The sequence below is a fragment of the Homo sapiens genome, chromosome 10, assembly GCF_000001405.40.
Source record: "Homo sapiens chromosome 10, GRCh38.p14 Primary Assembly".
NCBI lineage: Eukaryota > Metazoa > Chordata > Mammalia > Primates > Hominidae > Homo > Homo sapiens.
The window spans coordinates 92,306,141-92,322,810 of record NC_000010.11 but is presented as its reverse complement, the minus strand read 5'-3'; the positions used below and the strand labels follow the sequence as shown (position 1 = coordinate 92,322,810).

General features: G+C 41.1%; 1 protein-coding gene across 2 annotated transcripts in view, besides 3 other annotated features; it reads right to left on the bottom strand.

Moving 5' to 3' along the window:
* MARCHF5 (membrane associated ring-CH-type finger 5) overlaps positions 1-16,670 on the bottom strand; it is a 62,798-nt gene that overhangs the window by 31,154 nt on the left and 14,974 nt on the right. Inside the window, exon 2 of one of the 2 annotated variants that reach the window (NM_017824.5) lies at positions 11,474-11,676. In NM_017824.5, the coding sequence (NP_060294.1) occupies positions 11,474-11,676 (203 nt within the window). Of the gene's footprint in view, positions 1-11,473; positions 11,677-16,670 lie in introns of those variants that run through there. The other variant, XM_047425382.1, reaches the window with a different exon arrangement.
* Positions 9,298-9,799: an enhancer, noted in NCBI's record as "H3K27ac hESC enhancer chr10:94072769-94073270 (GRCh37/hg19 assembly coordinates)". NCBI's record gives its function as "activates a minimal SCP1, AML or CMV promoter by ChIP-STARR-seq in naive H9 embryonic stem cells {active_cell/tissue: H9 hESC(naive)}" and the evidence as "EXISTENCE:reporter gene assay evidence [ECO:0000049][PMID:30033119]".
* Positions 15,246-15,957: an enhancer, noted in NCBI's record as "H3K27ac-H3K4me1 hESC enhancer chr10:94066611-94067322 (GRCh37/hg19 assembly coordinates)". NCBI's record gives its function as "activates a minimal SCP1, AML or CMV promoter by ChIP-STARR-seq in primed H9 embryonic stem cells {active_cell/tissue: H9 hESC(primed)}" and the evidence as "EXISTENCE:reporter gene assay evidence [ECO:0000049][PMID:30033119]".
* Positions 15,958-16,669: an enhancer, noted in NCBI's record as "H3K27ac-H3K4me1 hESC enhancer chr10:94065899-94066610 (GRCh37/hg19 assembly coordinates)". NCBI's record gives its function as "activates a minimal SCP1, AML or CMV promoter by ChIP-STARR-seq in primed H9 embryonic stem cells {active_cell/tissue: H9 hESC(primed)}" and the evidence as "EXISTENCE:reporter gene assay evidence [ECO:0000049][PMID:30033119]".

Sequence of the window (16,670 nt, the reverse complement as noted above, 5' to 3'; positions counted from 1 at the left end):
AGCTGAGATCATGCCACTGCACTCCAGCCTGGCGACAGGGCGACACTCCATCTCAAAAACAAAGAAAGAAAAAAAAAAGGGCTAGATGTGATGGTGCACTTTGGGAGGCCTAGCTGGGCTGATTACTTGAGCTCAGGAGTATGAGACCAGCCTGGACAACATGGCAAAACCCTGTCACTATAAAAAAAAAAAAAAATACAAAAACTAGCTGGGTATGGTGATGAGCACCTGCAGTCCCAGCTACTTGGGAGGCTGAGGTGGGAGGATCACTTGAGCCCAGGAAGTCAAGGTTACAGCAAGCTGAGATTGTGCCACTGCATCCCAGCATGTTTGACAGAGTGAGGCCCTGTCTCAAAAAAAAAAAAAAAAAAGGACAAAAAGAAAGATCCCAAGTCAACTAATCTTCTACCTTAAGAAACTAAAAGGAGAAAAGCAAACTAAACCCAAATCAAGCAGAAGGAAGAAAGGACATAAATATTAGGGTGGATAAAAATGAAACAGAGAATGCAAGAATAGAAAGAAAAAACTCTGACAAATCTTTTTTTTTTTTTTTTTTTTTTTTTTTTGAGACGGAGTTTCGCTCTTGTTGCCCAGGCTGGAGTGCAGTGGTGTGATCTCGGCTCACTGAAACCTTCGCCTCCTGGGTTCAAGTGATTCTGCTGCTTCAGCCTCCCAAGTAGCTGGGATTATAGGTGCCCGCCACCATGCCCGGCTAATTTTATATTTTTAGTAGAGACGGGGTTTTTCCATGTTGGTCAGGCTGGTCTTGAACTCCCGACCTCAGGTGATCCGCCCGCCTCGGCCTCCCAAAGTGCTGGGATTACAGGCATGAGCCACCACGCCTGGCCAACCCTGACAAATCTTTAGCTAGACTGACCAGAAAAAAAGAGAAGATTCAAATGACTAAAATCATGAATTAAGGAAGGGGCATTACTACCAATCTTACAGAAATGAAAAGGATTATTAAAAAATACTATAAATAACTATATGCCAACAAATTAGATAATATACATGAAATGGACAAATTTGTATGATACAAACTATCAAAACTAATTCAAGAAGAAATAGAAAATCTGAATAGACCTGTAAGTAATGAGATTGAATTAGTAATTAAAACATTTTCCATGAAGAAAAGCCCAGGACCAAATGGCTTCACTGCTCCCAAACATTTAAAACACCAATCCTTCACAAACTCTTTTAAAAAACATAAAGGAGGGATCACTTCCCAACTTATCCTATGAGCCAGTATGATTCCAGCACCAAAACCAAAGATGTCACAAAAGAACTACAGACCAATACCCATTATGAGTACAGACACAAAAGTTCCCAACAAAGTACTAGCAAACATGACCAAGTAGAACTTATCCCAGGAACCCCAGGCGAGTCTAATATGAAAATCAACCAATATGCCATATTATTAGAATACAGAACAATACTCACATGATTATCAATAGACAGAGAAACAGCATTTGACAAAACCCAACACTTTTTCATGACAAAAGCCCTCAACAAACTACAAATAGATGGGACATCCTCAACCTGATAAAGGCCATCTCTGAAAAACCCAGTTAACATACACTCACGTGTTACTCAATGATGGGTATCCACACACAGGGATAAATGTGTCCTTAGGCCATTTTGTAGTTTTGTGCACATCACAGAGTCGGTATGGTGTAGCCTATTTACACACCTAGGCTATATGGTATAGCCTACTGCTCTTAGCCTACAAACCTGCACAGCATGTTACTGTATTGAATACTGTAGGCAAATACAATGGTATTTGCGTTCCTAAACATAGGAAAGGTACAGTAAAAATATGGTATAAAAGATAAAAGATGGTATACCTGTATAGAACACTTAATCATGAATGGAGCTTCCAAGGCTGGAAGTCTGGAAGTTGCTCTGGGTGATTCAGTGAATGGGTGATGAGTGAATGTGAAGGCCTAAGACATTACTATACACTATTATAGACTTTATACACATTGTACACTTATTACACTGAATTTATAATTTTTAATAATAAATTAACCTTAGCTTACTGTAACTTTTAAACTCTATACACTTTTAACTTTAACTTTGACTCTTTTGTATTAACAGCTTAAAACACATATTGTACAGTTGTGCGAAAAATTTTTTATCCTTATTTTATAAGCTTTTTTCTATTTTTAAAATTTATTATTCTTACTTTTTAAACTTTTTTGTTAAAAACTAAGACACAAATACACACATTAGCCTAGGCCTACACAGGGTCAGGATCATCAATTAATATCATTGTCTTCCATCTCTACATCTTGTCCCACTAGAAGGTCTTCAGGGGCAAAAACAAACATGAAGCTACTATCTCCTATGAGAATAATGCCTTCTTCTGAAACACCTCCTGAAGGATATGCCTGAGGCTGTTTTACAGTTACTTTTTAAGTAAAAGAAGTATACTCTAAAATAATGATAACAAGTGGTTGGGTATGGTGGATCATGCCTGTAATCACAGTGCTTTGGGAGGCCAAGGAAGGAAGGCCCCTGTAAGTCAGAAGAGAGAAATCAGCCTGGGCAACAAAGCACGACCTTGTCTCTACAAAAAATAAAAAAAAAATTAGCCAGGTTTGGTGGCATGCACCTGTAGTCCCAGCTATTTGGGAGGCTGAAGCAGGAGGATCCCTTGAGCCCAGGAGTTCAAGATTACAATGAGCTATGATCATGACACTGCACTCCAGCCTGGGTGACACAGTAAGACCCTGTCTCTATATTAAAAAAATTTTTTTTGCAGTAAGCTGAGATTGCACCACTGCACTCCAGCCTGGGCAACAGAGTGAGACTCTGTCTCAAAAAAAAAAAAAAGAAAAGAAATTTTTTTTTTTTTTTGGCCAGGTGCAGTGGCTCACGCCTGTAATCCCAGCACTTTGGGAGGCCAAGACGGGCAGATCATGAGGTCAGAAGCTCGAGACCAGCCTGATCAACATGGTGAAACCCTGTCTATACTGAAATACAAAAATTAGCTGGGCACGGTGGCAGGTGCCTGTAATCCCAGCTACTCAGGAGGCTGAGGCAGGAGAATTGCTTCAACCTGGGAGGCGGAGGTTGCAGTGAGCCGAGATTGCGCCACTGCACTCCAACCTGGGCAACAGAGTAAGACTCCCTCTCAGAAAAAAAAACAAAAAACAAAAAAACAAAAAACAAACACACAAAATTTTTTAAAAGTAATGATAAAAAGTAAAGTAGAGGCCGGGCGCGGTGGCTCACGCCTGTAATCCCAGCACTTTGGGAGGCCGAGACAGGCAGATCACGAGGTCAGGAGATCGAGACCATCCTGGCTAACACGGTGAAACCCCGTCTCTACTAAAAATACAAAAATTAGCCGGGCATGGTGGCGTGCGCCTGTAGTCCCAGCTACACGGGAGGCTGAGGCAGGAGAATGGCGTGAACCCGGGAGGCGGAGCTTGCAGTGAGTCGAGATCGCGCCACTGCACTCCAGCCTGGGCGACAAGAGCGAAACTCCGTCTCAAAAAAAAAAAAAAAGTAAAGTAGATACATAAACCAGTAACACAGTCATTTATTACCAAGCATTATGTACTGTATAAAACTGTTACATGTTATATTTTTATATGACTGCTAGTACAGGTTTGTTTATACCTTCATCACCACAATCAGGTGAATGATGCATTGCACTACTATGTTACCACAGCTACAATGCCACAAGGTGATGGGAATTTTTCGACTCAATTATAATCTTAGGGGACCACCACTGTGGTTGTTATTGACCTAAACATTAAGTACAGTGTAGTACGGCTATAGTTAACGGTGAAAAGTCGTCAGGCACAGCGGCTCACGCCTGTAATCCCAGCACTTTAGGAGGCCGAGGCGGGTGGATCACCTGAGGTCAGGAGTTTGAGACCAGCCTGGCCAACATGGTGAAACCCCAACTCTACTAAAAATACAAAAATTAGCCAGGCTTGGTGGTGGGTGCCTGTAATTCCAGCTACTTGGGAGGCCGAGGCAGGAGAATCACGTGTACCAACCTCTGCAGTAGGCAGAGGTTGCAGTGAGCCGAGATTGTGCCACTGCACTCCAGCCTGGGAGACAAGAGTGAGATTCCATCTTAGAAAAAAAAGAAAAGATTGGATGATTTCCCCCTAAGAACAAGAACAAGATAAGGATGTCTGTTTTTTTTTTTTCCGTTCTTTCTCTCTCCCTTTATTGTTTGTAGCTGCGACCCCAGGTGCACACCACCATACCTGGCTAATTTTCTGTATTTTTTTGTGGAGACTGGGTTTTGCCATGTTCCCCAGGCTGGTCTCGAACTCCTGGGCTCAAGCAATCTGCCTGCCTTGTCCTCCCAAAATGCTGGGATTACAGTTGTGGGCCCCTAGCCATTTTTTTTTTTTTTTTTGAGACAGGGTCTCACTCCAGTTGCCCAGGCTGGAGTCCAGTGGCATTCTCTTGATACACTGAAACCTCCGCCTCTCGGGTTCAAGTGATTCTAGCGCCTCAGCCTCCTGAGTAGCTGGGACTATAGGTGTGCTCTTAGACCTGGCTAATTTTTTGTATTTTTAGTAGAGATGGAGTTTTGCTATGTTGCCGAGGCTGGTTTCAAACTCCTGCACTCAAGCAATCTGCCTGCCTCAGCCTCCCAAAGTGCTGGGATTACAGGTATGAGCCACGGCTCCCAGCCAAGGATATCTGCTTTCATCACTTCTATTTAATACTGCACTAAAGGTTATAACCAGGGCAATTAGCCAAGAAAATGAAATAAATGATTCACATTGGGCCAGGCATGGTGGCTCACACCTGTAATCCCAGCACTTTGGGAGGCTTAGGCGGGTGGATCACCTGAGGTCAGGAGTTCTAGACCAGCCTGGCCAACATGGTGAAACACTGTCTCTACTAAAACTACAAAACTTAGCTGGGCATGGTGGCGTGTGCCTGTAATCCCAGCTACTGGAGAGGGTGAGACAGGAGAACTGACAGAACCCAGGAGGCAGAGGTTGCAGTGAGCTGAGATCATGGCGCTGTACTCCAGCCTGGGCAACAGAGCGAGACTGTGCCTCAAAAAAAAAAAAAAAAGCATTCAGATTGGGAAACAAAAAGTAAAACTATTTCTGTTCAACAATGACATGATCTTATATTAGAAAATCCTAAGGAATCCATCAAGAAGTATCCAAATTATTAAGCAAGTTCAGCAAGGTCACAGGATACAAGGTCAATTTACAAAAATCAATTGTTGCTGATTGTGTTCCAAGACAGAAAACAAAAATTGTATTCTACATACTTAAACAATCTAAAAACAAAGTTAAGAAAACAATTCCATTTACACAATGTATCAAAAAGAACAAAATATTTAGAAACAAATTTAAAAACTAAAAAAAAAATCTAAAAACTATAAAACAATGTTGAGAGAAGTTAAAGAAAATAAATCTTGCCTGGGCGTGGTGGCTCACACCTGCAATCCCAGGATTTTGGGAGGCCAAGGTGGGTGGATCACCTGAGGTCAGGAATTTGAGACCAGCCTGGGCAACGTGGTGAAACCCTGTCTCTACAAAAAATACAAAAATTAGTCAGGCGTGCTGGCGCATGTCTGTAATCCCAGGGAGGCCGAGGCAGGAGAAACTGCTTGAACCCAGGAGGCAGAGGTTGCAGTGAGCCAACTTCGCACCACTGCACTCTAGCCTAGATGACAGTGCGAGATCCGTCTCAAAAAATAATAATAATAAAAGAAAATAAATCTAGTGTGAATCAGTCCCTTGGGAGTCAAGATCTCTCTACCTTTGAGATGCTCTCCTCTGAATTCTTCTGCCTGAACAAGGTTATTACCAGGTCTCAAAGTTTATGGACAGGTTTTATTTATAAAACAAACTTTTTTCAGTTGGTATTCCTTTCATGTTTTAAAGCAATGGTTTTTAAATTTAATGTGCATAGAAATCACTCAATTATCTCATTAAAATGCACATTTCAGCTGGGTGTGGTGGTTCTTGCCTACATTCTCAGTACTTTGGAAGGCCAACGGGGTTTGGGAGGGGGATCCCTTGAGGCCAGGAAGTTTGAGACTGGGCAACATAGTGATCCCCCTCTCTAAAAAGAAAAAAAAAATTAGCTGGGTGTGGTGGCACGTGCCTGTAACCCCATCTACTTGGAAGGCTGAGGCAAGAAGACTGCTTGAGCCCAGGAGTCTGAGGCTGCAGTGAGCTATGATCATGCTGCTGTACTCCAGCGTAGGCAACAAAGCAAAACACTGTCTTTAAAAAATAAAAATTAAAAAAAGCAGACTTCTATTCAGTAAAAGTGGGGTGGAGGAAGGGGGTGGTGTTCTGCATTCCTAATAACTGCCAGACAATGCTAATGTTGCTGGTCCTCAGATCATACTTTGAGTAGCAAGGTTTTAAGTAGGTACATACATACAACTGGCTTGGCTCACCAGAAAAAAAGAAAAAAGCAAACTGTAACATGGGTGGCAAACAGTGAGAAGGATAAAACTCTGACGAATCCTCTTAAGTTTTTCACAACTGAGTACAATAAGTAACTCCCTATTAACAATGAAGAACATACACTTATATTACCTCTTCATTCCTGCCATGACTAAGTACCAGAAAAGATGCAGAATTGGCCAGCTAGCATCATCCAGACTGGGGCTAAATTCATTTGAAAAGTTAAAAAAAAAACACAAAATCTGCTGCATAGAGATCATCCCATAGAATATTAACCATCATCACCTTTCCCTCTCTGTATCTTCTTTTATTCCTTCTTCTAGTCAGTGTTTATCAAGTGTCTTTGGGGACCAATGGCAGTCCCTGGCAATCTATTTGGTCTACAGACAGTTTGAGAAAAAAGTGATAAAAGTTTTGATCACAAATATTTCACAAATTTGAGGAGATTATGACTTTCACAGAAATCCTTTTAGGTTCTTTATTGCTGTTACATTCTAAGGATCACCCAAGCTCTACTAGGGTAAGTTAAGAAAACACTATCATAATAAGGAAAATGAAAAGGAAAGGGCTAACATACTTCCACATCATGTGAGTTGTTTACATTGGTTAAATATGTATTTTATTGTTACTATCATATTGTGTTAAATCCCAAATTTAGGGAAATGAATCAATGGTTCAAAAGAGTAAAAGTGAAAAATACATTTAACTCAGAATGCCATAAATGATAATAGTATGATTTTATAGTGAAGACTGATCTTAGAATGAGCTGTGACCAGTGAACTAGGAGTGATAACACTGTACTAGGAGACATCCTTGTTCCCACCGTATTGTGATACATTATTAAATAGGGACAAGAAGCCACTGAAGTGTTCATATCATTTTCAACAACTCCAGTAAACCAACCAAAGCCTCCACTATGAATTCTGTCATTAAAAGATCAAAATAATAGTCAAAGGTACTTCTTTTAACAAAACAGATTCAACTACTGTCAGCTGCAAAATTAATGACAAATGTGCTCAGACAGAAACAAAACAATCTACTGGCAAAATTCTATCATCAGATGACACTATCGGACATTACGTGCTACGTGTGTTATACAGAGAGGAAGAACAATTATTATCACAGATGCAGGCTCTTAAGTATTTTGTTTAATGGCTGCATGAAGCCACTAGCGTACAGAGTACGAATCAACTCTTAGTATATACGAATGTAACATGTTAATCAAGAAATACAAGCAACTTTTTAAAAGTTTTAGAAGAAGATATTTTCTTTTAACCAACAATTATTTTTGAAACTTGAATTGAAAAGTTGTGCTGGAATCAGCATAGCTAGAGCACTAGCTTTGTGTGCAGCAATGAAGAGCCCACCACCTGAAAGCCAATTCACACATGGCTTCATTTACAGACAACAGCTGGCTTGAGTCATTGTTAATAACTGCATGGAAAATTGTGAATATAATTAAAATTGCAGCCCTTGAATAGGTATCTTCAGCATGTTAAGAATGCAGCGGCAGGCTGGGCACACAGTGGCTCATGCCTGTGATCCTAGCACTTTGGGAGGCCAAGGTAGGTGGATTGCTTGAGCCCAGGAGTTTGAGACAAGCCTGGACAACATAGCAAGACCCAACCTCTATTGGCGGGGGGGGGCGGGGGGAAGCAGCAGCAGCAAATACTCTGTTTTTCTGTTTTGTCAAGAGGAAATATGCTAACAATACCTACTCAAATGAAGGATATACTTTTTTTTTTCTTTTTTTGAGACAGAGTCTTGCTCTGTCGCCCAGGCTGGAGTGCAATGGTGTGAGCTTGGCTCACAGCAACCTCTGCCTCCCAGGTTCACGTGATTGTCCTACCTCAGCCTCCCAAGTAGCTGGGATTACAGGCGCCTGCCACCACGCCTGGCTAATTTTTGTATTTTTAGTAGACACAAGGTTTCACCATGTTGGCCAAGCTGGTCTTGAACTCCTGATATCAGGTGATCCGCCTGCCTTGGCCTCCCAGTGTTGGGATTACAGGCGTGAGCCACCGTGCCCAGCGGATATTCATTTTTTTTTATAACACTGATGTCATTAAAACATATCTATGATTTTAAGCGGCTAACTCAAGTGCCATACCTCTATGACAGACAGTATAGTGACCAGCTTGAACATATCATTTGAGAGTAAAATTATAATTCTCTCTTTTATTTAAGATTGGTTTCACTCTGTCACCCAGGCTAGAGGGTAGTGGCGCAATCATAGCTCAATGCAGCCCCAAACTCCTGGGCTCAAGTGATCCTCCCAGCTGAGCCTCCCGAGTAGCTAGGACTTACAACAGGTGTGCTCCATCACACTTGGCTAATTTTTTTTCTTTTTCTTTTTCTTTTTTGTAGAGAGACAAGGTTTTGCTATGTTGCCTAGGCTGATCCTGACCTCGTAACCACAAGCAATCCACCCACCTGAGCCTCAAAAGTGCTGGGATTACAGATGTGAGCTACCATGACTGGCCACAATTCTTTTTTGTTGTTCAGACAGGGTCTCACTCTGTCTCCCAAGCTGGAGTACAGTGGCGCAATCACAGCTCACTGTGGCCTCCACCTCACAGGCTAAGGCAATCCTCCCACCTCAGCCTCCTGAGTAGCTGGGACTACAGGTGTGTGCCACCATGCCCAGCTAATTTTTTTTTGTTATTTTTGGTAGAGATGGAGTTTCACCCTGTTGCCCAGGCTGGTCTCAAGCAATCTACTCGCCCCAGCTTCCCAAAGTGTTGGGATTACAGGTGTGAGCCACTGTGACCCGCCACAATTTTTTTTTTTAGCACGGCGTCTCGCTCTATCTCCCAGGCTGGAGTGCTGTGGCGCTATCTTGGCTCACTGCAAGCTCTGCCTCCCGGGTTTACGCCATTCTCCTGCCTCAGCCTCCCGAGTAGCTGGAACTAGAGGCACCTGCCACCAAGGCTGGCTAATTTTTTTGTATTTTTAGTAGAGATGGGGTTTCACTGTGTTAGCCAGGATGGTCTCGATCTCCTGACCTCGTGATCTGCCAGCCTTGGCCTCCCAAAGTGCTGGGATTACAGGTGTGAGCCACCGCGCCCGGCCCGGCCACAATTCTTAGTAACAAAATATGCAGACTAAATAATGATACAAATGGCTTAACCAAAGAGTTTTACTCTTTTCTTTTTTCTTTGAGATGGAGTCTCGGCTCTGTCGCCCAGGCTTGTGTGCAGTGGCACGATCTTGGCTCACTGCAACCTTTGCCTCCTGGGTTCAAGCAACTCTTCTGCCTCAGCCTCCTGAGTAGCTGGGACTACAGGCACACGCCACCATGTCCAGCTAACTTTTGTATTTTTAGTAAAGACATAGTTTCACCATATTGGCCGGGTTGGTCTCGAACTCCTGACCTCGTGATCTGCCCGCCTCTGCCTCCCAAAGTGCTGGGATTACAGGCGTGAGCCGCCACGCCCAGCCAAGATTTACTCTTTTCTAACAACTAGGTAGACTTAAAACCATATTCAATTACTGCACTAAACCTGAAAACATATTTCCTAGAACTGAATTCAACCAAAAGGACAGATCTACACATTGCCATCTCCAAAATTAAAATACTCAACTTTGCTTTCGAGTGCCATACACTTGTCAACTTGATGTAGTTTTCAGTGAGAATTCTTGTAATAATTTTTGTGTCCATTTGAATATCTAAAACATCTAATAGAAATATTTAATTGTTGCTCTTCCCAACTCTATAATTCAAAGGTGGGGCTATCTAATTTAGTACAACTAAGAGCAAGAAAAGAAATCAGTTAAATATGAAACCTTAACTTGGACTTTAGTGAGTCTTTCACCATTCATGTGGTGGTACAATAATGTGAACAATCATTGCTTTTCCTGATACTGATTTAAAAATACTTCTTTGATCTTACAATAAAAACATTTTGAATTATTCTTTTGTGTTTATCTAAAATCAGTGGTATGCACTGAAGACCCATCACATGGTCCACAAATTCCAAATGTTTGAAAACACTACTTTCTCTACTACACTACTTCCCCTTCAAAGGAAGCTATCATTTCTTCCTGTGCATGTTAGAGAAAAACAGAGAACCAAGGACATTTTGTTTGCCCTTATTATTAATCTTCTCATATTAGAAAAGCACTTCATTATCTGCATTTATGTTGCCACATTTTCAAAAACATTGGTCTGATTTCAGTATGAATAGCACTTATAAAAAACAATATATATAATAATTATTTCCAATTTTTCCTGAATTCCCTCTGCCCCCAAAGACATTCTTTCCTTATGACCTTCCCAGAACCCAAGCTGCCTTCCTATACCTCTTGGTTACAGTCAAGGGTTATAAAAAAATGTTTAACAACTGGCATGGTATAAACACCAAACCAAGAGATTGACACCAATTTATAACTGTATGGCTGTAATGGAACAGGCTCACTAAATATCAGCCTTAGTTATACTGCTGCTAAAGAAGCAGCCTTAGAATGCTTCTTGTAAGCAGTCTGCTATACTTTTTTTCCATGCTAGGCCTGTTCTCAAAGATCTTTGGTTATTTCTTACCTGCCACTTCACAGAAAAGGGATAGCAGGGTTCATGAAAGAAACCACATAAATTGGATTCCAAAGATGAGTTTAACGTCACATCTTATTAAATATTTAATTTCTCTACTTTTATTCCTTAAAAGGAAGAATTAAGGAGAAGTATTAGAACATACTACTGCTTTCTTTCTCTTACACCGTCTCCAGATAATTAAGCTAAGTTAGTTTTTTTTTTAAAAGTCAGCTTTTTATTAGAGCTTTGTTATTCAATTATATCCACACAGGTATGCAAGTTCTTTCTCCTTTCTATCAAACAGACAGTTAATACACAGGCAAATGGATAAATTTGGGGATATATTAAGGATACTGTAAACTGTTAGCAAAAGAAATAAATGTCTGACATTCAGAGAGGAAACAAGAGAAAGGGAATATAGAAATTCACACCCTAAAAAAAAGAGGTGGTTCATTTTAAAATGAACTTATAAAGTTATATATAATAACATCAACTATATCTGTGTTGTTTTTAAAGATATTCTTACCCAATTTTGGAAAAACTATTAGGTATTCAGCATTGCACTGAGGACATGCCACTCTGGCTGTACTGTTTCCTCTTTGCTTTTCATCCACCCAGCGTTGTAGACAGGCCTGGTGAACCCATTTTGTAGATCCTCTGCACCTGCATGGTCTCACCCATTCAGCTGTTCTATCATCTTCATCAGTAGCAAAACAAACCCAGCAACTTCTGTAAATTAAAAGAGAAAAGGATGACATTTATATCTTTAGGACTCCAGCCTCCTCTATACTGCAGCTCTTACTTAATGGGATGAGCCTGCTATGTTATATTACAGAATCTCTGTCCTATATTAAAAGACTAAGGAGACAAAACAACCAATACATTCCCACTAGAGCAGTTTCTACTTTTTCTGTTTTTCCTTGTCTTCCTCTACAGAACTTATGTTTTCTGAACTTTGTTTTTATGTAATCTCCTCTATCTTTTCAGTAATTCTTCACCTTCTCTAATGAACCAGAGTGCAAGGAGACAAACCTCAAGTTGTTTTTGTTATAAGACCTAATAATTCTTTGAGGAATAGTAAGCACAGTAATATATTAAATTCAGTGTTCTCCCCAGTTCACCACCACCAATCCCTTGAACTTGGAAAAACAAAGTATTACACGAGTGATTTCACATACAGTCTCATTCCATTTTTCAGCTGAGGAAAAAAAAACCCATTTTTCTTTCCGGTAAAGTATAAACATGAGAGAAAACAATATTACATTTTCAAAAAAGCACAAAGGAGATAAATATATCAAGATTTTTTTTTTTAGAATAGCAATATGATAAATTTGGGCGTGTATGCTTGAAATCTGAAATCTAGAAGTATCAAGTCTGGGGTGCTTATATTAATAAAAATAAAATTCTATTGAGATCGGTAATTTTAAAACATTTTCCCACTTTGCTTTTAAGGGTACTTCATGAATTGTAATTTTTTCTTGTGGAATTAGGTTGTAATTCCTCAGTTTTTCTCCCAATTAACACAAGTTTTGACATCGATTTCCATCAGGGCAAATACAGTTCAATTCAATGAGACCCTTCGCTCCTCCCCTCCATTAGAACTTGTACAAGTGGAAACAACTGCTAATTAAAGCATGTTACCTACTGTGCACTTTTTAATTAATTGGATAAGTGGCTTCTGTCAGAACAACTAGCTTAACTATGCTCAGTGGGAAAGACTATATACTCAGGTATTATAGATGGGTGAGGTTCTCCAGTCCTTGTGGAACAACATGAATTTCAATTGTGTGCTCCAATTACAATTTTTCAATTAGAACAGAAAAAAAGTTGAACTGAATCCAGGGCATCAATATCCAAAATAGTTGTTTTATTCAGCTTTCAAATTCAGTCAGGTTTCATAAGATCTAAGTAAAATTAGAACGTAGGTAGCATTTGTTTAGCATTCTGACCCTTTTGACCCACTTTAGCTAAGCTGTCTGGGCCTTCACATTGTCTTATGGTTGTCCAAAAATACTTTGTTCTTTTTTAAAAAATTTTATCGTCAAATAGACATAGCATAAAATCTACCATTTTAGCCATTTTTTAGGTGTATAATTCAGTGGCAGTAAGTATATTCATACTGTTGTGCAACCACCAAGACTACCCATAGTAGGACTGGGTTCTAACCTATGATTTTTGCATAAAATTTCAATTGGTAAGTATACTAGCACACAGGCTGGTTAAGATGTTGTTAGTATATATTTTTCCCCACAACTGAGGTAATTTTGTGGACATATTTGTATACATCTAGGAAATGGAATGTATCATTTTAGCAACAAAATACTGGCAGAATATTTAGAGACTCTTTAGTCTCATACTTTCTTAACACAAACGTAAATAAGAATAGCTACATCAGCATAATTAATCAGTATTATGGTGAATCACATTTTAAATTAATCCAATTTCAGTCATCAGAAAAATAAAATACAATGTTAGGACTAGGTTGAACCAACTGAAATAGTCTACATTAATCTGTTTCTGACTTACAGAAAAGATAGGTCAAATTTCATATTTTGATCTAATGAGAATACTTGTGTAGCTATTATATTCCTTATAAATTCTAGATAAGGTTTATTTTTCCCAAACATTTTATTATGAAAAATTTCAAACTTTCCAAAAAAAGTTAAAAACTGTTCAGTGACTACCCATATACCCAACATTTAGATTCTATAATTCTTATTCTGCTATATTTGCTTTCTCACACATCCATTCATTATTCTTATTTTTTGCTGCATTTCAAAGTTGCAGGCATCAGTATATTTCAGTCCTAAATACTTGTACAGATTTACTTTTTAGAACTGACATTTAAAGCATGCACTTGGCCGGGTGCCGTGGCTTAAGCCTGTAATCCCAGCACTTTGGGAGGCTGAAGCGGGCGGATCACAAGGTCAGGAGATTGAGACCATCCTGGCTAACACGGTGAAACCCTGTCTCTACTAAAAATACAAAAAAATTAGTTGGGCATGGTGGCGGGTGTCTGCAGTCCCAGCTACTCAGGAGGCTGAGACAGGAGAATGGCGTGAACCCGGGAGGCGGAGCTTGCAGTGAGCCAAGATCGCGCCACTGCACTCCAGCCTGGGCAACAGAGCAAGACTCCGTCTCAAAAAAAAAAAAAAACAAAAAACAAACAACGCACGCACTTATGCACTTTCAGTTTTTTTTCTAATTAATTTCACAACTATGGTAAATAAGATAGCTGAATGATGATTCAGAGTGCGTACTTATCAGGAGTTAGGCTTTCAGTTGAAATAGCAGTATTAGAGGCATGTGAACCAGAGCAACTCCGTCTTGATTGAATAGGAGCTGGGTAAAATGAGGCTGAAACCTACTGGGCTGCATTCCCAGATGGTTAAGGCATTCTAAGTCACAAGATGATATATGAGGTCAGCACAAAATACAGGTCATAAAGATACTGCTGATAAAACAGGTTGCAGTAAAGCCAGCTAAAACCCACCATAACCAAGATGCTCACGAGTGACCCCTGGTCGTCCTCACTGCTACACTCCCACCAGCACCATGACAGTTTACAAATGCCACGGCAACGTCACGAAGTTACCCTATATGATCTAGAAAGGGGAAGCATAGGCTGGGCGCGGTGGCTCATGCCTATAATCCCAGCACTTTGGGAGGCTGAGGAGGGCGGATTATGAGGTCAGGAGATCGAGACCATCCTGGCTAATATGGTGAAACTCCGTCTCTACTAAAAATACAAAAAAATTAGCCAGGCGTGGTGGCAGGTGCCTGTAGTCCCAGCTACTCGGGAGGCTGAGGCAGGAGAATGGTGTGAACCCAGGAGGCAGAGCTTGCAGTAAGCTGAGATCGTGCCACTGCACTCCAGCCTGGGTGACAGAGTGAGACTCCATCTCAAAAAAAAAAAAAAGGGGGGAAGCATAAATAATCCTCTCCTTGTTTAGCATATCATCAAGAAATAACCATAAAAATGGGCAACCAGCAGCCCAAAGTCTTGCTCTGTTGCCCAGGCTGGAGTGCAGTGGTGGTCTCGGCTCACTGCAACCTCCGCCTCCCGGTTCAAGCGATTCTCATGCCTCCGCCTCCCAAGTAGTAGGATTACAGGGTGCCCGCCACCATGCCCAGCTAGTTTTTGTATTTTTAGTAGAGATAGGGTTTCACCATGCTGGCTAGGCTGGTCTTGAACTCCTTACCTCAAGTGATCTGCCCACCTCAGGCTCCCAAATGCTGGGATTACAGGCATGACCCACTGCGCCTGGCCACACACAGCTAATTAAAAAAAAATTTTTTTTTTAGAGACAGGATCTCCTTATGTTGCCTAGACCAGTCTCAAACTCCTGGGCTCAAGCAATTCTCCTGCCTTGGATTCCCAAAGTTTTGGGCGTGAGCCACTGTGCCTGGCCAAATATGTTAAGTTCTAAAGAATTTATTAACTGATTTGCTATCTTACTAGTTGTTTAAATTTAATCTACCTAGTATGGAAAGAATAGCAGTCTATGAAATGAGGACTGGGCAAAGGGGAAATTAAAGCATGTAAAAATGGTCACACAAATGTCTTTAGGCCGATATCAGCATATAAGAGTGTGACTAGTCTTAAGGGCTAAAAAAAAGGAGGGGAGGGCACGTGCGTGCATGCACGCGCACACACACACACACACACACACACACACACACACACAGATGTTTTCTTTCCTTATTTTATGAGATGGGTCTGGCTCTGTTGTCCAGGCTAGACTCCAACTGAAATCCTGGGCTCAGGTGATCCTCCTGCCTCAGTGTCCTGATTACCTAGGACTGCAGGCATATAGTCTAGCTTCCTGCCCCCTCCCCTGCCCTTTTTTGAGACTGAGTCTCACTCTGCCACCTAGGCTGGAGTGCAGTGGTGCAATCTTGACTCACTGCAACCTCTGCCTCCTGGGTTCAAGTGATTCTCCTGCCTCAGCCTCCCTAGTAACTGGGACTACAGGCATCCACCACCACGCCTGGCTCATTTTTGTATTTTTAGTAGAGATGGGGTTTCACCACCTTGGCCAGGCTCGTCTTAAACTCCTGACCTCAAGTAATCCACCTGCCTCGGCCTCCCAAAGTGCTGAGATTACAGTCATGAGCCACTGCGCCTGCCCATCCGACTGACCAGGAACATCACCTGGGAAGGTCTTATAATTATGCTTTCCCTTTTTGCTTCTCCATACCCTACCCCTCCCACTCTATGTAATTAATCTACTTCAACGATTTATTCCCCAATTCTCTACCCCCTTCCTTTTAAGATGGAGAAGAGCTATTTGAAAATGATTCATTTATAATTTCTCAACATCTTGGAATGGAGGGGACAGTAGAAATTTGATGTTTAATGTACATACAACACAAGTCCTTCTACCTTCTAGGAGTAAATAGTATCCCATGCTTTCTATGGAAAATCGCTCTTCCCTCCAACATTAGCCGTGTGTGTGGTTTAGGCAGTGAATACCATAACCAACCCCAGAAACACTCAGATTGGCCGCTGTAGCCTATCTTCCAGACTACATCATTGGGAGGCTGGGTCCATAAAGCTGGTCTTAGTGAACCTCAGAACTTTTGCTGGGAAAAGTGGTATACAGACTTTCTCTCTTCTTCTGGGCTTAGAAGCAGAGAATGTGAGGCTATTGCTGACAGGAGAGCCACCAACTAAGTGGAGCCTTAAGAATCCAGAAGAAGTGAAGGTGGAAACTGACGGC